Source organism: Homo sapiens, chromosome 12, assembly GCF_000001405.40.
Source record: "Homo sapiens chromosome 12, GRCh38.p14 Primary Assembly".
Taxonomy (NCBI): domain Eukaryota; kingdom Metazoa; phylum Chordata; class Mammalia; order Primates; family Hominidae; genus Homo; species Homo sapiens.
In genome coordinates this window covers 43,324,734-43,343,619 of record NC_000012.12, presented here as the reverse complement: position 1 = coordinate 43,343,619, position 18,886 = coordinate 43,324,734, and positions in this window count along the sequence as shown.

Genomic DNA, 18,886 nt, shown 5'->3' with positions numbered 1-18,886 from the left:
AAAAAAGAAAAGAAAGAAAACATAACTTGTTTATCCATTGCCTCATTTAAGAAACACTGTTTATATACGTACCCTATGAAGAGCTAGGGATACAATTCTAAGTACGTAACTTTTCAACCCTCATCATGCTTACATTCTAGTGTGGGAGCTAGGCATATGCAAAGTAAGTGAATTTGGTTGTGACAGTGCTATAATTCAAGTTGGTGCAGGGTACAATGGGACAAAGAGGAAGAATTAATCTGGTTCATTTAGACTTGGGCTGTGTAGTGGGAAAATATTTTATAAACCCTGCTCATATCTTCAACACATGAGTAGACAAAGCCAGCTTTAAAAATTAGAATTTTTTTTGTTTGAAAGGAAAGGAAATCCGAACTTGAAGAGGCTCTAATCAAAGGCTTTTCTTAGAGAAACCTTCTGGTTACAGCCACTCTGTGAGCTGGGGTAACATAGGCCTCCCCCTCACTGCAGAGATGCTGGATAAGATAGAGCAGCAGCAACCACAATATGCATAGCCAAGCTCAAAGTGCAGAGGGAAATGAACAGTCATTCTAATGTTGTATACTCAGAAAAATAGCAATAAATGTGGAATAAAGTTATTTTCATACAAAGACTGTGTTTCCTACTCATGGACCCTTGCTCAATGACCTACTCATGGACCCTTTACTGACCATTAAAATTTTTACATCAGTAGTAAAGGCATGGATCTCAGAATGTAAATGCAAAGATTTAGTTAACATTTGTGTAAATCTGAATAAGCCCTGACTGCAAAAACTAACAATAAAAATGTCCTTTTTTAAAAAATTAAAATGCTGACCTACAACGAGTTTGAAAGAGGTAGGAGGGTGATTTGTAATTAAAGCTTTCTGAAGATCTCATTTTCTTTGGGAATAAAGTAGAGAGATAAAATTCAGACTTTAGTTAAATAAGCATGTTTAAAATTATAAGGGTGACTATTGAAAGTTCTAACTTCTAAACAAGGATAGGAGAAAGAGAATATAAACAAAACTTCATCAAGGGAGGAGATATGGAGGAAAATAAAATAAGCAAAGAGAAAGCATGGTAAAAAATAGCACAAAATAGGCAGTAAAACTGAATCAAGATATATCAGTAATTTTGGTTTTGTTTTCGTTTTTCAAGTCCAGCTTATGTGCTTTAAAGAAATGCATATAAAACGTAGTGATTGAAAAAGTTAAAAATAAGGGGTTGAGGAAGAGATATTTTAGGTAAGTATGAACCTTGTAGAATTACTAAAATTTGCAAAATGTTCTTTAAGCCTAAAGCATTGGAAAAGGTAAAGACAGTTATTACAAACAACTATTACTGAAAAAGTGTCCTGATCCAGACCCCAAGAGAGGGTTCTTGGACCTTGCCCAAGAAACAATTTGGGGTGAGTCCATAGAGTAAAGTGAAAACAAGTTTATTAGGAAAGTAAAGGAATAAAAAATGGCTACTCCATAGGCAGAGCAGCAGCATGGGCTGCTTGTGTAAGAATACTTTATTTTTTCATTATATGCTTAACAAAGGGTAGATTATTCATGAGTTTTCTAGGAAAGGGGTGCGCAATTCCTGGAACTGAGGGTTCCTCCCCTTTTTAGACCATGTAGGGTAACTTCCTGATGTTGCCATGGCATTTGTAAACTGTCATGTTGTTGATGGGAGTGTCTTTCAGTATGCTAATGCATTATAATTAGCATATAATGAGGAGTGAGGATGACCAGAGGTTACTTTCATTGCCCTCTTGGTTTTGGGGGGTTTTGGCCGGCTTCTTTACCACGACCTGTTTTATAAGCAAGATCTTTGTGACCTGTATCTTGTGCCAACTTCCTATCTCATCCTGTAATTAAGAATGCCTAGCCTCCTGGGAATGCAGCCCAATAGGTCTCAGTCTTATTTTACACAGCCCCTATTCAAGATGGAGTCACTCTGGTTCAAATGCCTCTGACACAACCAGAGAAAATATTTATCAGAAACTTAGGGCAATCCTGAACCCACGCACCCAAACTCATAGCTTCAAAATATAAAAAGTAAAAATGGACAGAACTACAAGAAAAAATGTGAAAATGTAATGGTGTCAGAAAATTTAATTTGGATATTAAAAACAAAACTTCCAAACAACTTGTAGGTTGGAGAAAGACTCAGTATATTTTGTAATTTTAAATAAAAGCAAAACACGATCACAGCTTGTAAGATCAATGTTAGCAACAAAAGGAAGCAAAAAGAAGACAAACTAAGGATAGGACCTGTTTGGGAAACCCTGGGACACATGAAGAGAATCATCTGGCCTGATATTCCTCCAGATGTTTTGAACTGAAAGACTTCTGAACTTTCTGAGCCTACAGGAATGGCCAGCCTCTCCCTAGTATGAACCAGTACACCCTGCATTCTGGAAGATGATGCAGAGGCCCCTCTTCCACAAAGTTTTAGGTACCTCTTTCTGGATCTGCCCTTCCCTCTCCTCCTGGGCACTAGGACACTGGACCTATAAGTAGGATTAAGTCACAGCATGACCCAGCTAGGGACTTACTGGGCTTTATAACAAAGGAAAAGAGATATTTCCCAAAGGAGCTGCAAGACCTAGCCAACATGTACTGGCAGAAGCTGGAGAAGTGGCATTTGAGGGGGCCTGCCCTGCTGAGAGTTATGGAGATAGTCAACAGAACACGTTATCTAAAGGGTCAAAATATGAGGGGAGTCAACAAGGGCATTACTCAGCGTCTACCAGTAGAAGACATCAAAAGAGGCCAAGCACAGTCATTCTTTGCCAAATTTTTGGACTTGAGGCAATTTTCAGACTCAACACCCATTGACTGAGGAGTGGCTTGGTCCCCAGGAGGAAAGACTGCCAAACCCCAGTGAATTTATATGCTAATAGTTTTCCCAATCCTTCCTCTGAAACATCTATGGACATTTACTCAGATATTGTGCACTAAGGAAATGGGAACGTCTATGCATTTCAGAGACCATTAGATACTGTGTCTGAGATAATACTTACATCTGGAGACATGAAATGTCATCATAACCATTAGGATGGGGTCCAGATAATAAATGGAATCCTGGCTATGTTCTGATTTATATGGGGTTCGCTAGGTCCATAGATCCATAGGTCCACCTGGTGATCATTCCTCTAATCTGAAGGTACAACTGGGATTGAAACACATGGCAGTTGGTACAATTTCACATTGGGTCCTTGGCCTGTGGGGTGAGATTTGTCATAGTAGGGAAGATGGAGGTCTCCAAATCTCACACCCAGTCTGGAAGTCTTATCACATTGTGGAGGTAGTGATATTGAGGGAGGATGGCAGAGATTAGTGCCCTTAAGGATCTAATGAATCCAGGTTCCGGGGATAGTGTTTCCCATCTTATTTCCATTTAATTCACCAGTTTGTATGCTGAAGAAACTGGATGAATCCTAGAAGATGACTATAGCCTACCACAAACTCAACCAAATAGTAATTGTCAACACAGTCTTGGTGGCAGAAGTGGTATCTTTGCTATAACAGATTAATATGACCTCAGACACATGGTCTGCAGCCACTGATTTACCAAATTTGTTCTTTTCTATCCCCAAAAGGAAAGAAGATTAGAAATAGTTAATAATCACATGGATTGGACCCAAAAAGTTACATTTACAATTATGCTTCACCTCAAGACTGTATTAATTTTCTCATCTTCTGTGACAGTCATACTCCAAAGAAATATGGATCATGTGGTCATCTTTGATCATCACATTGATCCATTACATTGATGGTTATATGTAGACTGGATTAGATGAGCAAGAAGTGGATGATGGAGGTCTTGTTAAATAAAACATACCCACTGCAGAGGAGGGGAGATAAACCCCATAAAAATGTCAGAAACCTGACAGAAACCTATGAGTTTAGGGATTTTAGTGATCAGAGCTCTGCTGGGACATCCTGTCCTGATAAAAATCAAACCTTCGTATCTTACAGCTCTTACCATGAAAAAGAGAGCAAAATAGCTGGAAGACTTCTTCGGGTTCTGAGGCAACATATTCTACAACTAAAAACACTGCGTTGGCTCTTATACTGAATTATGGGACAGTGTGTGAGTTCTATGAATTGGGTCTAGAATGGGAAAGGGCTTATAGCTCATTCAGGTTGGGGTCCAGGCAGCCCTGCCACTTGGACCATGTGATCTGACAGGCCCTATGGTGCTGGAAGTATCAATGGTGAGAAAAATGTCATGTGGAATTTGTGACAAGACTTAGGCAAAGAATCACAATGCAAGCCCTGGAGGTTCTGAAAAAAGGCCATGCCATGTGCAAAGAATTATGTTTTTCAAAACAACACCTGGTGTAATATTCTGCTGAAAGCCATTTTATTTTACTACTTAAAATTAGTTCACACACCAATGTTTCATTTTAATATGAAAATCAGCATAAAATAAGGACATAAAAAAATCCCTGATAAGGGTACTAAAGCAGAAGTAACACAAATCATGCTCAAATGCTGGAGTTGGTGCCCCTTTGACATTATGAGTCACAGTCAGTAGAGGATGCTGTTGCCTTTTATAAAGCTTTTCCAAAGAGCTTTCAAGGACTGTGACCTCTAATAAGGGCAGGAAGGAAAAATGAAAGTGAGTAGCAGGGATGGTGACTTCCTGCTGAGCAAAATAGCAAGGACTGAAATAGCTCTCAGAAGGCAAGGGAGATTATAAGCAGATGGAGGCTTTGGTGTCAAAACTGCCCTGAGAGCAATCTCTAAGGTGATTTTAAAGACAAGGAAACTAGATAATTGAGGTGCTTTTACACTGCTATCTCCTCCAGCATGTAATATAGTCATCATAAAAGTAGACTATTGCTGGATTTTTTTTGTAGCCTAATCTTCATTAAACAAAATTGTCCTAACATAGGATTTTGATCAGGATAACTTTAGATTTACTTCATTGCTTTTTGATGTTTTGGCAAGGTCAGGTGTGTGTACTGAGGTTTGCAACATTTTTCCTATTGGCCCAGACTGTAGGTTTCTTTCATTTGTGCATAGAGATGTGTCTCAGAATATGTTCACAAATCATGATAGAAGTCATCAACACAGACATTTGAACAGGGCTGGGGGGCCTTTAAGAGGGCAGGAGTAGATAATATGAGCCAAGAATGAATACCAGTTCTACCCTTCTCTGCCTGAATTCAAACAAGTTGTTCCACTACTCTTATTTCTTTGTCAGTTTCTTGATTTCTTTGTTTGTAAATTATTCACAGCAGTGGTTTAGCCATCAGTATGTGTTAGCTATTATTCAGCAATTGTTTCCGTTGTCTCGTTGCACTTTCACAACAAGGTTAAGATGTGGGTGGATAAAGTATTTTTGTCATCACTTTAAAGAGGAAAAAGAGGATGTTAGGAGAGTTTGAATTGTATGCTGCATTCTTACACCTAACAAATAAGAGTGGGATTCCAATGCAGCTTTGTCAGAAGTCAAAAACCATGCTCTTTTTTTGGTAGATTGCACCAATGTTTCCGGTGTAATCGTTCACTGGCATGAAGATTACCTGTGCTTCCTGGTGAAAGGCACCTGCCAAGTCAGTGGGCATGCCCTCAGGCCTGGGGTTCTGCATTTCAAACCTGCTCTCAGGTGGCCAGCAGCTCAGCAGCATTTCCTGGGAGCTCATTAGAAATAAGAATCTTGGCCCCAGATCCACTGAATCAGAAGTTACATTTTAACAAGATCCCTAGAAGATTTATTTGTTTGTTAACTTAGAAAGCATTGATCTAGACCAAGAGGTAGGCAAATTTTGTGTAAATCACCAGATAGTAAATATTTTAAGCTTTGCAGTCTCTAGTGATTCTTTTGCATGTTAGTCTTAGAAGTGCAGGTTTGACTCATACTTTCCTCCTTCATGAGGGTAGAGTGGTTCTCTGATGAATTAAGGTCTCAATAGGGACATGTAGGTACTTCTTATCTTTGGACAGACCCATCAACTTTAGGTTCTAAATGCCTGCCTGATAACAATATATCTTCTAGTGGAAAAGCACCTAAGTCTGTGAGCACTGAAATTACAAGTGAGCAAAAGTCTTTGACTCCATGTAAGTCTTAACCACCATTTTTTGGTGATTCTTTGTAAACTCTTAAGTACAGCACAAATATACAGCACAAATATACTGAAACAAGAATCTTAATGTCAGTGTTGATAGGAACACTGTGGGGTTCTTGATGGAATGCAGATGGGCTGCATCACAAGGAACTCTGATTGAAAGTTCTAGAAAAGGCCCAGGAATCTTCCTTGTAAGCCTATCTCACAGGTGATTCTGAAGCAGGTGATCCAGGGATACCTTGGAAAACCCTAGCTCTAGCCACTGTACCTGAAACTAGATTTGGTACCTATGGTAGAAGATTATGAACGAATTCTCAAGAAGAAATGACAGTGAGATTTCAAATGATTTTTTTCTTTTAATTTTGGTGACTGAATCTGATGTCCCCAAGTTTACAAAATGGCTGGATATATCCACTAGAGGTCATGATTGAGTCTATATCAAGACCAGATTACTGTTAGGATTCTCACATATTTTGGTCTCAGAATCACTTTAAACTCTTAAAAATAATGAAGACCTCAAAGAGCTTTTGTTTAGGTAGGTTATATATTTTTATTTAGTTGAGAAATAAAAACTGAGAACCTCTAAAAATATGTATTAATTTATTTTCAAATACCTATAATACACCATTACATGTTTATATAAATAATATATTTTTATGAAAAATAAACATTTTCCAAAAACAAAAACATGATTATTGAGAAAAATGGCAAGTGTTTATGCTTTTGTAAATCTCTTTAATGTCTTGCTTAAGAGAAGACACCTGGATTGTTACATTACTTCACACATCTTGGAAAACTACACTGAAAACTCTGGGGCAGTGAGAGTGACAACTGCTATTACTGTCATAGTATTAGGAAAATAGTTTTGACCTCATAAAACCCCTCATGAGACTCATTTGAGGACCCCAAGATTCCTAAGACCATACTTTGAAAAACACTGCTTAGAATAAAGATAAAGCCAGCATTTCACAACCTGGGGAATAAAAGTCTAAATTTTTTATTCTGGCATTTCAGACCTTTCCAATCTGCCACCAACCATCTTTTCTAATGTTTATCTCCTATTTCTCTACTAGCTAAAATTTGTAGTTATACCAGTTGGTATTAATCTTCTCATTATTTTCCTATTTTTGGGTCTCTGCTCTTGTGTTTTTGTGTCTCTGCTCATTTTAGTTTTTCTCATTGAATCACTCTCTGTTAAATCTTCTGTATTAGCACTGTATCAAATATAAGATTTTTAATTACAAACTTTCAGTTTGAACTTTCTATGTTCAGAGTAAGCTACCTTTCCAGAAATATTTTTCTTACTTTTAGCCTACTGCCCTTGTATTAAATGACATCCTTAAATATTAATGTCTATGATGGTCATTTCAGTATGAATTCTGTTTCCCTTTGCTAAGTTGAAAGTTCTCTGAGGATGCCTTTCTATACCAATCACACTTTGCACAGGTTTTTTTTTTCTTTCTGAACATGTAGCTAGTACTATTTTAATGAATAAATGACAGAAACATTGATTTTTTTACATAAAGATGCTGCTACTGATGTATTTTAAATGAGATTTTCCAAAAGAATAGTCAAACCCTTTACATAATTTCATTAAAATGTCAGAATTTCAAAAATCAAAGAGAATGACTCTTAAGACATGAATGAGTTTATGATATTAATATAGAATCAAAGCTGATAATACATTATTTAAAGTGCTACTTAATTCTCAGGATCACCTTCATTGTATGGCAAATGGAGATGAGCTAAAAAGTGGAACTAAATTCAACTGTGATTTAGAAGAAATTTGGGAACTTTTTTGTAAGTCTTTTATATACAAATGGTAATTTTAGGTGAACATTTCATAACCTACAAAGTGTCATTTGGAAATAGGTTCATACAGACAAGCTGTATATTTCATAATGATTTTCTTTTTATTCAAACCATATAACTAACATAGCTTGTACCTAATTTTATGTTTATGTATTTTTCATGTTGATGTATATTTCTCCAAAAAGTCATACACAAAGTTTATCTGTTTTCTACCACCATTTATTAGGCTGTCCATCTGAAAAGTACCAGTTCTAAACAGATTTGAAACAGCAAAATATTCCCTTAGTATTTAACAGACAACAAGAATGAATTTCTCATTTTCCATAATGTTTTCATCCCTCCCTTGCTGTATCCAGTTTAAGATTTTCAATTGTAAACTTTCAAATTTGAATTTTCTGTGTTCAGAATATTTTTACTAAAACATTTGAATCACTTGAGTGCTTTTCCCATGGTTAAACTACAAGAAAAGAACAGGATTTATACCAAACCGTTCATTCGATCCAGCCAAACTTCCTAAAGAGGGTCCACATTGTAATTTTCTATTACAGTGAAGAAAACTTTGACATTCAACAGATCAGAATTTAAAACTCAGCTTCAAATCTTTGGTAAGTTAGTACAATCGGCCCTTCACATCCATGGATTCAACCAATGGCAGATCAAACACTTTTTTTTTTTTGAAATTGCATCTGTACTAAGCACGTAGAGACTTTTCTTATCATTATTACCTAAGCAATACAGTATAACAACTATTCACATAGCATTTACATTGTATTATACATTATAAGGAATCTAGAGGTGATTTTAAGTATATGGGAGAATACAAATACTACACCATTTTATGTCAAGGACTTGAGTATCTGTTGATTTTAGTATTCATCAGATGTCCTGGAATGAATCTCCCATGGATACTGAGGGATGACTGTATAAATTTTTAAGACTATGCTTCCTCATTAATTAATTATTATTTATTTATTTATTTTTGAGATGGAGTCTCACTCTGTCACCCAGGATGTAGTGCAGTGGCACGATCTCAGCTCACTGCAACCTCCGTCTCCCGGGTTCAAGCAATTCTTTCTGCCTCAGCCTCCAGAATAGCTGGGATTACAGGCGTGCGCCACCACGCCTGGCTAATTTTTGTATTTTTAGTAGAGACGGGGTTTCACCATGTTGGCCAGGCTGGTCTCGAACTCCTGATCTCAAGTGATCCACCTGCCTCAGTCTCCCTAAGTTCTCAGATTACAGGCATGAACCACCCCACCCAGCCCTATTATTATTATTATTTTGAGACAGGGTCTTGCTTTGTCACCCAGGTTGGAGTGCAGTGGCGCCATACAACTCACTGTAGCCTAGACCTCCTGGGCTCAAGTGATCCATCCACTTCAGTCTCCAGAAGTGCTGGGATTACAGGCATGAGCCACCGCTCCAGGCCTCCTCATTAATTTAAAACAAATAAACAAAAAGGATAGTAATATTTACCTTGCAAAATTTTGGTCCCTTACTCAAATAATTATAATTTGTAGGGTACTTTATATGTGTTATCTTTTTTTCTTTTTTCTTTTTTTTGTAAATCATACTAAACTGGCAGCAATGCTAATGGGCTACATGTGTTATCTTATTTAATCCCTGTAACAAACATACGTGATAACTATTGTGATTTTTTTCTCTTCATATAGGAATGCTATTTTTAAACATTTTTTTCTGTTTTATTGCAAATGACTTATATAAAACAGAGTGCACAGATCTTAAGTGTTTAGTTAAATGGGTATTGACAAATGTATATACTCAGTAACTGATACTGCAATCAAGGTTAGTGGTATACAGGCTAATGGTATACCTTGAGCAATTATAATCAACCTGCTCAAGGCTGTATAGCTAATTGTTGAGCTGGGAATCCGACCCTAGGCGGTCTGGTTTTAGGGTTACACTCTTACTCCTCTGTTACACTCCTCCCCCTCTGGGGCTTTTAAATTTGTTCCTGCAGTTCACAGACAGGGAACATTTGGTTTAAAATTATGCAAATCACTATATTTATGATATTTATTTACACTATATTTACATGACTTACACTTATTAGTTTGCACATTTTTAAACCAGGTTTACTGAATTAAGTAGTTATTTTATTAAATGTAGATACAGCCCAAATAGCTTATAACAGATTATCCAATGACAAGAAAGAATTCTCCTTTTATAATCTCTTTCAACTATGTTATTAATCATTTCAGGCTTTAGACCCTTATGCTTGTTTTCTCCAAGCTCGGAGTCCACATAGGCTGATGATAAGAAGTGATAAGTGCTTGCTGGATCTGTATGACTCACAGCATTTTACAGAACATGACAGTTGATACTTTGCAGGCAACAGAGTTTAGCTGATGCACAAATAAATGTTTCTCTGCTTCACTTATAAAGTTTCTCATTGATGCTCTTTGGTTCCAAATGGGGCTTAACGGATCATTTTATGCAGTTTTATCATTTATTTATTTTTAACTTTAAAACTAAGAATCTTCACTTTGAACAATTTTATTTAGGGTGGGACTGTCTCTGGGAAGGATTTGTAGAAATGTAAAGCATTCAACCACATGAGTAATAAATATGGCCTCATAAACTGAGAGCTGAAGATAACAACATAATGGCACTTTGTATTTGAATTATGTTATTCTTCTGAGGTGCTAAAAGCACTTTGTGGACAAATACTGAATATTTAAACTTTAAGATCAATTATAAACTAAGACAATATGCTGCTTAGAGCAATATTTTGTACTTGCTCCAAATCATCTCTATATAAAGGCTTTGAAGGTGAAAAAGCTAAAACAGACAGCCAAGCAAGAGGTTTACTTTGCTCCAAGTATTTATTAGAGGCAATGTGAATATCTTCTACTCCTAGAATGGCAGAAATATGCTGAGAAACAAAGCAGAAAAGTGAGAGACTAGGTTCTCACATCAGAAAATATCTGTGTACAATTAGACAGATTATGTGGTTCATTGTTTTGTTGCTTTACAAATATTATTCTCCTTTGCTGCCCAAAATGGTTTAATAGGTGTATATTTTACCAGATCATACAAATAGGTCCCTGACTTCAAAATTTTACACTTTAGTAGTGGAGATAGACAAATCAATATAAGATAGGACAGAATTTTTAGTAAGTGCCAAAAGACAAGTAAAAACTACATACCAGAAAGATTTAGAATCAGACAAAATCATGAGATCCCGTTGAAGCATAAATGAAGATGTAGGCAGCATTTAAACAGTGACTTGAATCATGGGTAGGATTCTGTAAGCAGATATTTAGGAGTAAATGAATAAATACTTGTCAATTTGTCAAGTAGAGAGAATAACACAAACAAAGGACAAATAGGGGCAATGTATGGGATATGTTAAGGGAGCACTAAGTAGACTTGTTTGGATGAAGCGTAAGCAATGTGAATCATAAAACAAGAGATAACATGGGACAAAAATTTGACATTAAATTGGGAACAAAATTTGACATTACACCTTGTCAGAAAGCCATGGAAATATTTTAGCTGGAGACCAACATCATTGGAGCTGCACTTACCAATGATTAGTTTACAGAACTGTCTAGAGAATTGGTTGTACAGGACCGAAACTAGAAATGGGGAATTAGATGTCACTGTAGTCATCCTAGGAAGATAATCAAATGACTAACCAAAGCGGTGGTTGTGAATAAGAAAAGATAGAACCGAATTCAAGCAACTTGGCAGAAACAGTCAATGAGACTTGGCAACTGAATGGATGAAGAGGGAGACAAATAAAATGAGAAAGATTAATAGATAACTGGGATTTCCACTTCAAGGAGGATGTAGGAGGTCATAGCAAATGAGCGCTTCTACTTTGACCTAGAAAAGCTAAATTAAAAAAAAGTCAAGCCTATTTTTAAAGGCATCACAAAGCCTACCAGCTGAAAAAAGCCCAGGACCAAATGGATTCACAGCTGAATTCTACCAGATGCACAAAGAAGAGCTGGTACCATTCCTGGTGAAACTATTCAAAGAAATTGAAGATGAGTGACTCCTCCTCAACTCATTCATTTATATAAGCAAGGATTACCAGGATAACTAAAATCCCAAAGAGGAAGAACCTTTCTGAGGTGAGCTAATGATCTCCATCTGTTTTTCCTTATTCTTATTCTTTCCTTATTCTTTTTTCCTTATTCTCTGCCAGGAGAAGGAGAGATCAGCTGTGCTTGGATTGGTATGGGAGTCTGCTGTGACACCTTAGAAAACTGGTACTATTCAAATTCACTGGGGCTTTCCCCACAGCATATTTGCTGAACTCTGCTTTGTGCAGAACTTCCCTGATATTATTTTTGCCATTCCATTATTTTCATTTATTTATCATGAGAGTTCTAGCATGATTCACCTAAAATATATATGTGGATTTAAAAAAATGTAATCTTCCAGTCTGTGTCTTTTAAGAGGGGAGTTTATCTTGGCTACTTCTAGTTTTTCAAGTATATATTTATTTCTGCCCTTTTTTTATAACTACATATTTGACTTTTATATTTTAAAAAGTTTTCCCCTTGCTAATTTAGAAGTTAGTTCTGCTATCTCTTTCTACGAGTAGTTAAACTTCATCATGTTGGTTACAATGGTGTGATGGTGTTTTGGATGAAAATATCCCAGCAGAAGAGGGTCCAGAGTTTATTTAATGACAGAGGATGTAAAATGTGAAGGATGTCACCAACAAGGAGTGAGGATGCCACCGGAAGTGAGATGCTCCTTCAGCCATTTTCATGAAGGGCTTTATATCCACATCTCCCTCACCTTGGCTGTTTTGAAGACCAGCCCACTCACCAGCAGCAAATGATATAAATAATTCCCACACATTCCAGAGTGTTTACTGAGATATTCAACAAAACAAAGATAGATTTTCTAAAAGCCCACAGCACTCCTCAGCAGACTCAGGCTTCAGGTTGTCTGAAGTCTGCTCTTGCTACACACTCTAGAACCCAAAATTTAATCTGTCTCATCTCAGTAAGCCTTATCTTTTTCCATTTTTTCCTTTTCAATTTTCTTCTTTGGTTGGTTGTTTTCATAATATTTGTCACTTCTCGATTTGGTGGCAAGATGTCCAATTAGATGCAGTGGAACAGCTCTCACTGAGGGACTGAGATGACTAGCGTGCTCCTGACAGATCGTTAGAGGGAAGGCACTGAGAGTGGATGAAGGGAAGACATAGAAGCTGGGCTAAAGGGGGAGAAAGCTGGGAACGCTGCATGGGCTATAGTGTGCTGGGACTTGTTCCCGGCCCCCAGTGGCTCCAGGGGAACAGGTGAGTTGAACGGGCAAGAAGTAACCCGCTCTTACCATGGGCCTCTAGAACCCATGTGGGAGGAGACCCCTTGACCACCATGGACACTCAAATTGGCATGGAGAGCTGCTTAAAGAAGTAATAGGGTCAGCACGCCAGCTGATGTGGAGCCCAGAGGGTTTGATGTGGGAGCATCTATAGCAGAACATAGCCAGGGACAGCCATCTCCCTAGGCTTTACTTGCTCCCATAGGAGATGTTAGTTCTAACGGAACTGTCAGACCTGAACTCTGCAGGGCGATTCTGCCCATCAGATGAAGCTGGTCCGACTAGAGCACCCTTTGGTCTGATGGCTTCTCCCAGGTCTCAGAATGGCCACACCTGCTGGCAGGGCAGTCTTGGGTGCCCAGGGGGCCAGCACCACAGCTTCTGCACTGGCAGACTGTTCCTGATCAGCAGAGAGCTCCAGCATGGCAGCCCCTACAGCCAAACAACAGCCTCCATGCCCCCTCCCCATACTGCAGCTTCCCCAGGGCCCACGACAACTCCCACACATTGCTTTGCTGGTGCTTTTCTGCGTGGGAGGGTTTTGCTTTCCTTACCCCTCCAGTGCCTGGGAGTCAGTAATAAATAGCCTACCAATCAAAAAAAGCCAAGGACCAAATGGATTCACAGCTGAATTCTACCAGATGTACAAAGAAGATCTGGTACCATTCCTGCTGAAACTATTCAAAGAAATTGAATAGGAGGAACTCCTCCTCAACTCATTCTATGAGACCAGCATCATCCTGATACCAAAACTTGGCAGAGACTGAACAACAACAACATAAAGGAAACTTCAGGCCAATATCCTCGATGAACATCAATGTAAAAATCCTCAACAAAATACTGGCAAACCAAATCCAGAAGCACATCAGAAAGTTTATCCACTATGATCAAGTAGGCTTCATCCCTGGGGTACATGGTTGGTTCAACACATGCAAATCAATCAATGTGATTCATCACATAAACAGAACTAAAGCCAAAAACCACATTATTATCTCAAGAGATGGAGAAAATATTTTCAATAAAATTTAACACCACTTAATGTTAAAGACTCTCCATAAACTAGGTTTTCAAGAAACATACCTCAAAATAAAAAGAGCCATCTGTGACAAACCCACAGCCAACATTCTACTGAATGAACAAAAGCTAGAAGCAGTCTTCTTGAAAAGTGACACAAGACAAAGATGCCCTTTCTCACCCCTCCTATTCAACAAAGTATTGGAAGTCCTGGCCAGGGCAATCAGGCAAGAGAAAGAAATGAAGGACATCCAAATAGGAAGAGAGGAAGCTAAACCATCCCTGTTTGCAGATGACATGATTCTATATCTAGAAAACCCTGTAGTCTCAGCCAAAAAGCTCCTTAAGCTAATAAACAACTTCAGCAAAGTCTCAGGATTCAAAATCAATGTGGAAAAATCATTAATATTCCTATACACCAACAACAGTCAAGCTGAAAGTCAAATCAGGATCATAGCTAACTGGGGAGGTGAAAGCTCTTTACAGGGAGAACTAAAAACCACTGCTTAAAAGAAATCAGAGCTACTCAGAAGGCTGAGGCAAGAGAATGGCCTGAACCCGGGAGGCGGAGCTTGCAGTGAGCCGAGATCGTGCCACTGCACTCTAGCCTGGGCGACAGAGCAAGACTCCATCTCAAACAAACAAACAAACAAACAAACAAAAGAAATCAGAGATGACACAAACAAATGGAAAACCATCCCATGCTCATGGATAGGAAGACTCAATATTATTAAAGTTGTCATACTGCCCAAAGAAATTTACAGACTGAATGATATTCCTATCAACCTACCATTGACATTCTTTACAGAACTAGAAAAAAACATTTTAAAATTCATATGGAACCAAAAAAGAGCTCAAATAACCAAGACAATCTTAAGCAAAAAGAACACAGCTGGAGGCATCACACTACCTTACTTTAAACTATACTACAGGGCTACAGTAACCAAAACAGCATGTTAGTGGTACAAAAACAGACACATAGACCAATGTTACATAATAGAAAACCAAGAAACAAGCCCATACAACTACAGCTATCTCACCTTTAACAAACCTGACAAAAACAAGCAATGGGGAAATGATTCCCCTATTTAATAAATGTGCTGGGATAACTGGCTAGCCATATGCAGAAGCTTGAAACTGGACCTCTTCCTTATACCATATACAAAACTTAATTCAAGATGAATTAAAAACTTATGAAAGACCCAAAACTGTGAAAACCCTGTAAGACAAACTAGGCAATACCATTCTGAACATAGGAACAGGCAATGATTTCATGACAAAGATGCTAAAACCAATTGCAATGAAAGCAAAAAATTGACAAACGGGATACAATTAAAGAGCCCCGGCACACCAAAGGAAACTATCAACAGAGTAAACAGACAATCTAAAGAAGGTGAGCAAATTTTTGCAAACCATGCATCTGACAAAGGTCTAATATCCAGCATCTATAAGCAACTTAAACAAATTTATGAGAAGAAAATAAGTAACTCCATTAAAAAGTGGGCAAAAGACATGGACAGACACTTTTCAAAAGAAGACATTTGTGGCCAAAACTCATATGAAAAAAAGCTCAACATCACTGATCATTAGATAAATGCAAATCAAAACCACAATGAGATACCATTTCACACCAGTCAGAATGGTTATTACTAAAAAGTAAAAAAAAGTAACATATGCTGGCAAGGTTGCAAAGAAAAAGGAATGCTTATACATTGTTGGTGGGAGTGGAAATTAGTTCAACCATTGTGGAAGACAGTGTGGAAATTCCTCAGACCTAAAAACAGAAATACCATTTGACCCAGAAATCCCATTACTGGGTATATACCCCAAGAAATATAAAGTATTCTATTATAAAGACACATGCAGATGTATGTTCATTGCAGCACTATTCACAGTAACAAAGACATGGAATGAAATTAAATGCTCATCAGTGGTAGACTGGATAAAGAAAATGTGGTGCATATATACCATGGAATACTACGCAGCCATGAAAAGAATGAGATGTCCTTTGCAGAAATATGAATGGAGCTGGAGGACATCATCCTTAGCAAACTAACACAAGAACAGAAAACCAAATACTGCATGTTCCCACTTACAAGTGGGAGCTAAGTGAGGAGAACACATGAAGACTTAGAGGAAAACAATAGACACTGAGGCCTATTGGAGGGCAGAGGGTGAAAGGAAGGAGAGGATCAAGAAATATAACTAATGGGTACTAGGCTTAATACCTGGGTGATTAAGTGATGTGTACAACAAACCCCCATGACACAAGTTTACCTGTATAACAAACCTGCACATGTACCCCTGAACTTAAAAGTTTAAATAACCTGTCAATTCTCAGCCAGGCTATAGGGAGGAGAATGTAATCTCTCAATTAAACATATCAAAGTGTTTGATGCTTGTTATTACTGGAATGATTTGTCTTCTCCTAACCTCTTCCATTTTCAGTAGATATTGGGCACTGGTCACTGGACTGTCATCAATTGGTATGACTTCTCTCTAGCATACTTTGCATTTTTTTGTCTTTTTTGAGTATCCTCAACTTTGAGTCTGTCACAGATTCAACTGAAGCCTTCTCCAAGAGGGTCATAAGTTATACTATTATTTCCAGTTCAAGTAACTTTCTTATTAGTGTATTTCCTCCTTTCTGCTAAATTTAGTATACCATGCTAAAATGGACATATTAAACAATGTGTTCAAATTACAGTGTTTTCTACAATTTTCAAGTTTATATTTCCCTTTTCAATAACACTGGAGTTGTATCTAAGTTTACTGTGTCCCATTAAGTATGCTAACTATGTAGTAAAAAGGAAATTCCAACCTTTTCCAAAGATAATCTAAATACTACACAAGCATTGAACATATGCTAGCTCAGAGAGCATCCTGTTCAATAGAGAAGGGAAATGAAATGGAAGACAGAAACAAACATGGCTCTTAAGATTTTACCCAAAACTTGCTTCTAACTATTCATTTTCATGAACATTATAATCATTTTAAAGCTTTTTTCTCAAGTAGTCTTAGTTGTGTGTTCTGGTTTCTTAAAGACATTTGGACATAGATGTAATTATTAAGAATACTATAATTATGAGTATATGTCAGTCTAGTCAAAAGCAATGAAGCAAGAATGCTAGAAAGTACAATTAAGTTGACTTCAAGAAATGTCAGTAATGTTTACAACTTTGCCCAACAGTACAAATTCAGACAGTTTTTTTAGGTCACAATATTTTTGCATTGTTGTATTCTACCAGAGGCAGCTCATAAAGACACGTGCATATTTAGATTCTCTACCACTGTGGATGATACCTCCGACAGAGAAAGAAGCTTTGACCAGGTGTGAGAAATTTCATTTGCCATTCGCAAAAAGGGAAGTCCCCTTCCTGACCTGCCTGCTCTGCAGACCCTGGTTACATGCCTGCAGTGAAGAGCAGCTTCCCAGGAGCTACCTTCCTTTTTCTGATGCTGTAATCAAGCACATATTTCTTCACCATTCTACAAAAAGAAGATACTGACACACTGCCCACCACACCAAGGCGTTCTTGTTCCTAGCTCTGCCTTTCTTCACTAAGACTTTCAGTACATTTTTACTTCCCCATTCTCCCACATTGACAGAAAAGACCTTTAAGAATATGTAACTTCAACCGTCTCACCCAACCACATCTCACTAATTCCTAGAACTCGCTAAACCAGCTAATGCTTTTAATTCCAACCTACTAGTAGGTTTTCCCTTTGAGCATCTATTTTAAGTATCCTGGTTTAATATTAGACTGAGCCATCGAAATTGTTGATATTCAGTCGTTTTTGATATACAAAAATGGCAATTTCCTATGATTCAGTCGAATACATGATGTGTTCCCATTCACTTTATTACCATTTGTTTTTATCTGTAGATTCCAAGTGTCTTTGGAGCATTTTCGTTTATCCTGGCATCTCTATTCTCCATTTATTGTTGGATTTGAGTCCTTTCTTGGAGTCCTCTCCTCTATTAAGGATATAAGTGACATACACTAAGATAGCAGGTTTGTGGGTTGGGTGAGGGGACAAACTCTAGAACTAAATACCAGGGCACAAACCCCAGCTCTGCCACACTCTAGGTGTATGATCTTATATACGTTCTTGAACTTTAGCAGAAAGAGAATAGAACCCATTGCAGTTGGGTTAATATGCATGAACAGTGTTTGACACAGAGTAAGTACTGCAAAACTATGTCAGATCCATATAGATCAGCAGTTACTTTCTTTCAACATACAGGAAAAGAATATTTTTAAAAAATCATTACTGACAGTTTATTTGTATCTTGCCTGACCTCTCTGATTGGATGTCAATGTCCGTGGGCTTTTAGAGATCCCTGGATGATGGCCCTGCTCAGTGACCTGCTTCACTATGAAATTGTTGGGAAATCTAGAGTATGTCTATGAGGCAAATTCCATTTACTACTCATACATGTCAGTCCATTTTCCCAATGCTATAAAGAAATACCTGAAATGGACTAATTTATAAAGAAAAGACGTTTAATTGGCTCACAATTCTGTAGGCTGTGTAAGCATGGCTGCAGCATCTACTTCTGATGAGGGTCTCCAGATGCTTACAATCATGGTGGAAGGCAAAGAAAGAGCAGGTGATGTCACTCGGTGAGAGCGGGGGCAAGAGACAGAAGGGAAGTGACATACTCTTTTAAACAACCAGGTCTCATGTGAACTC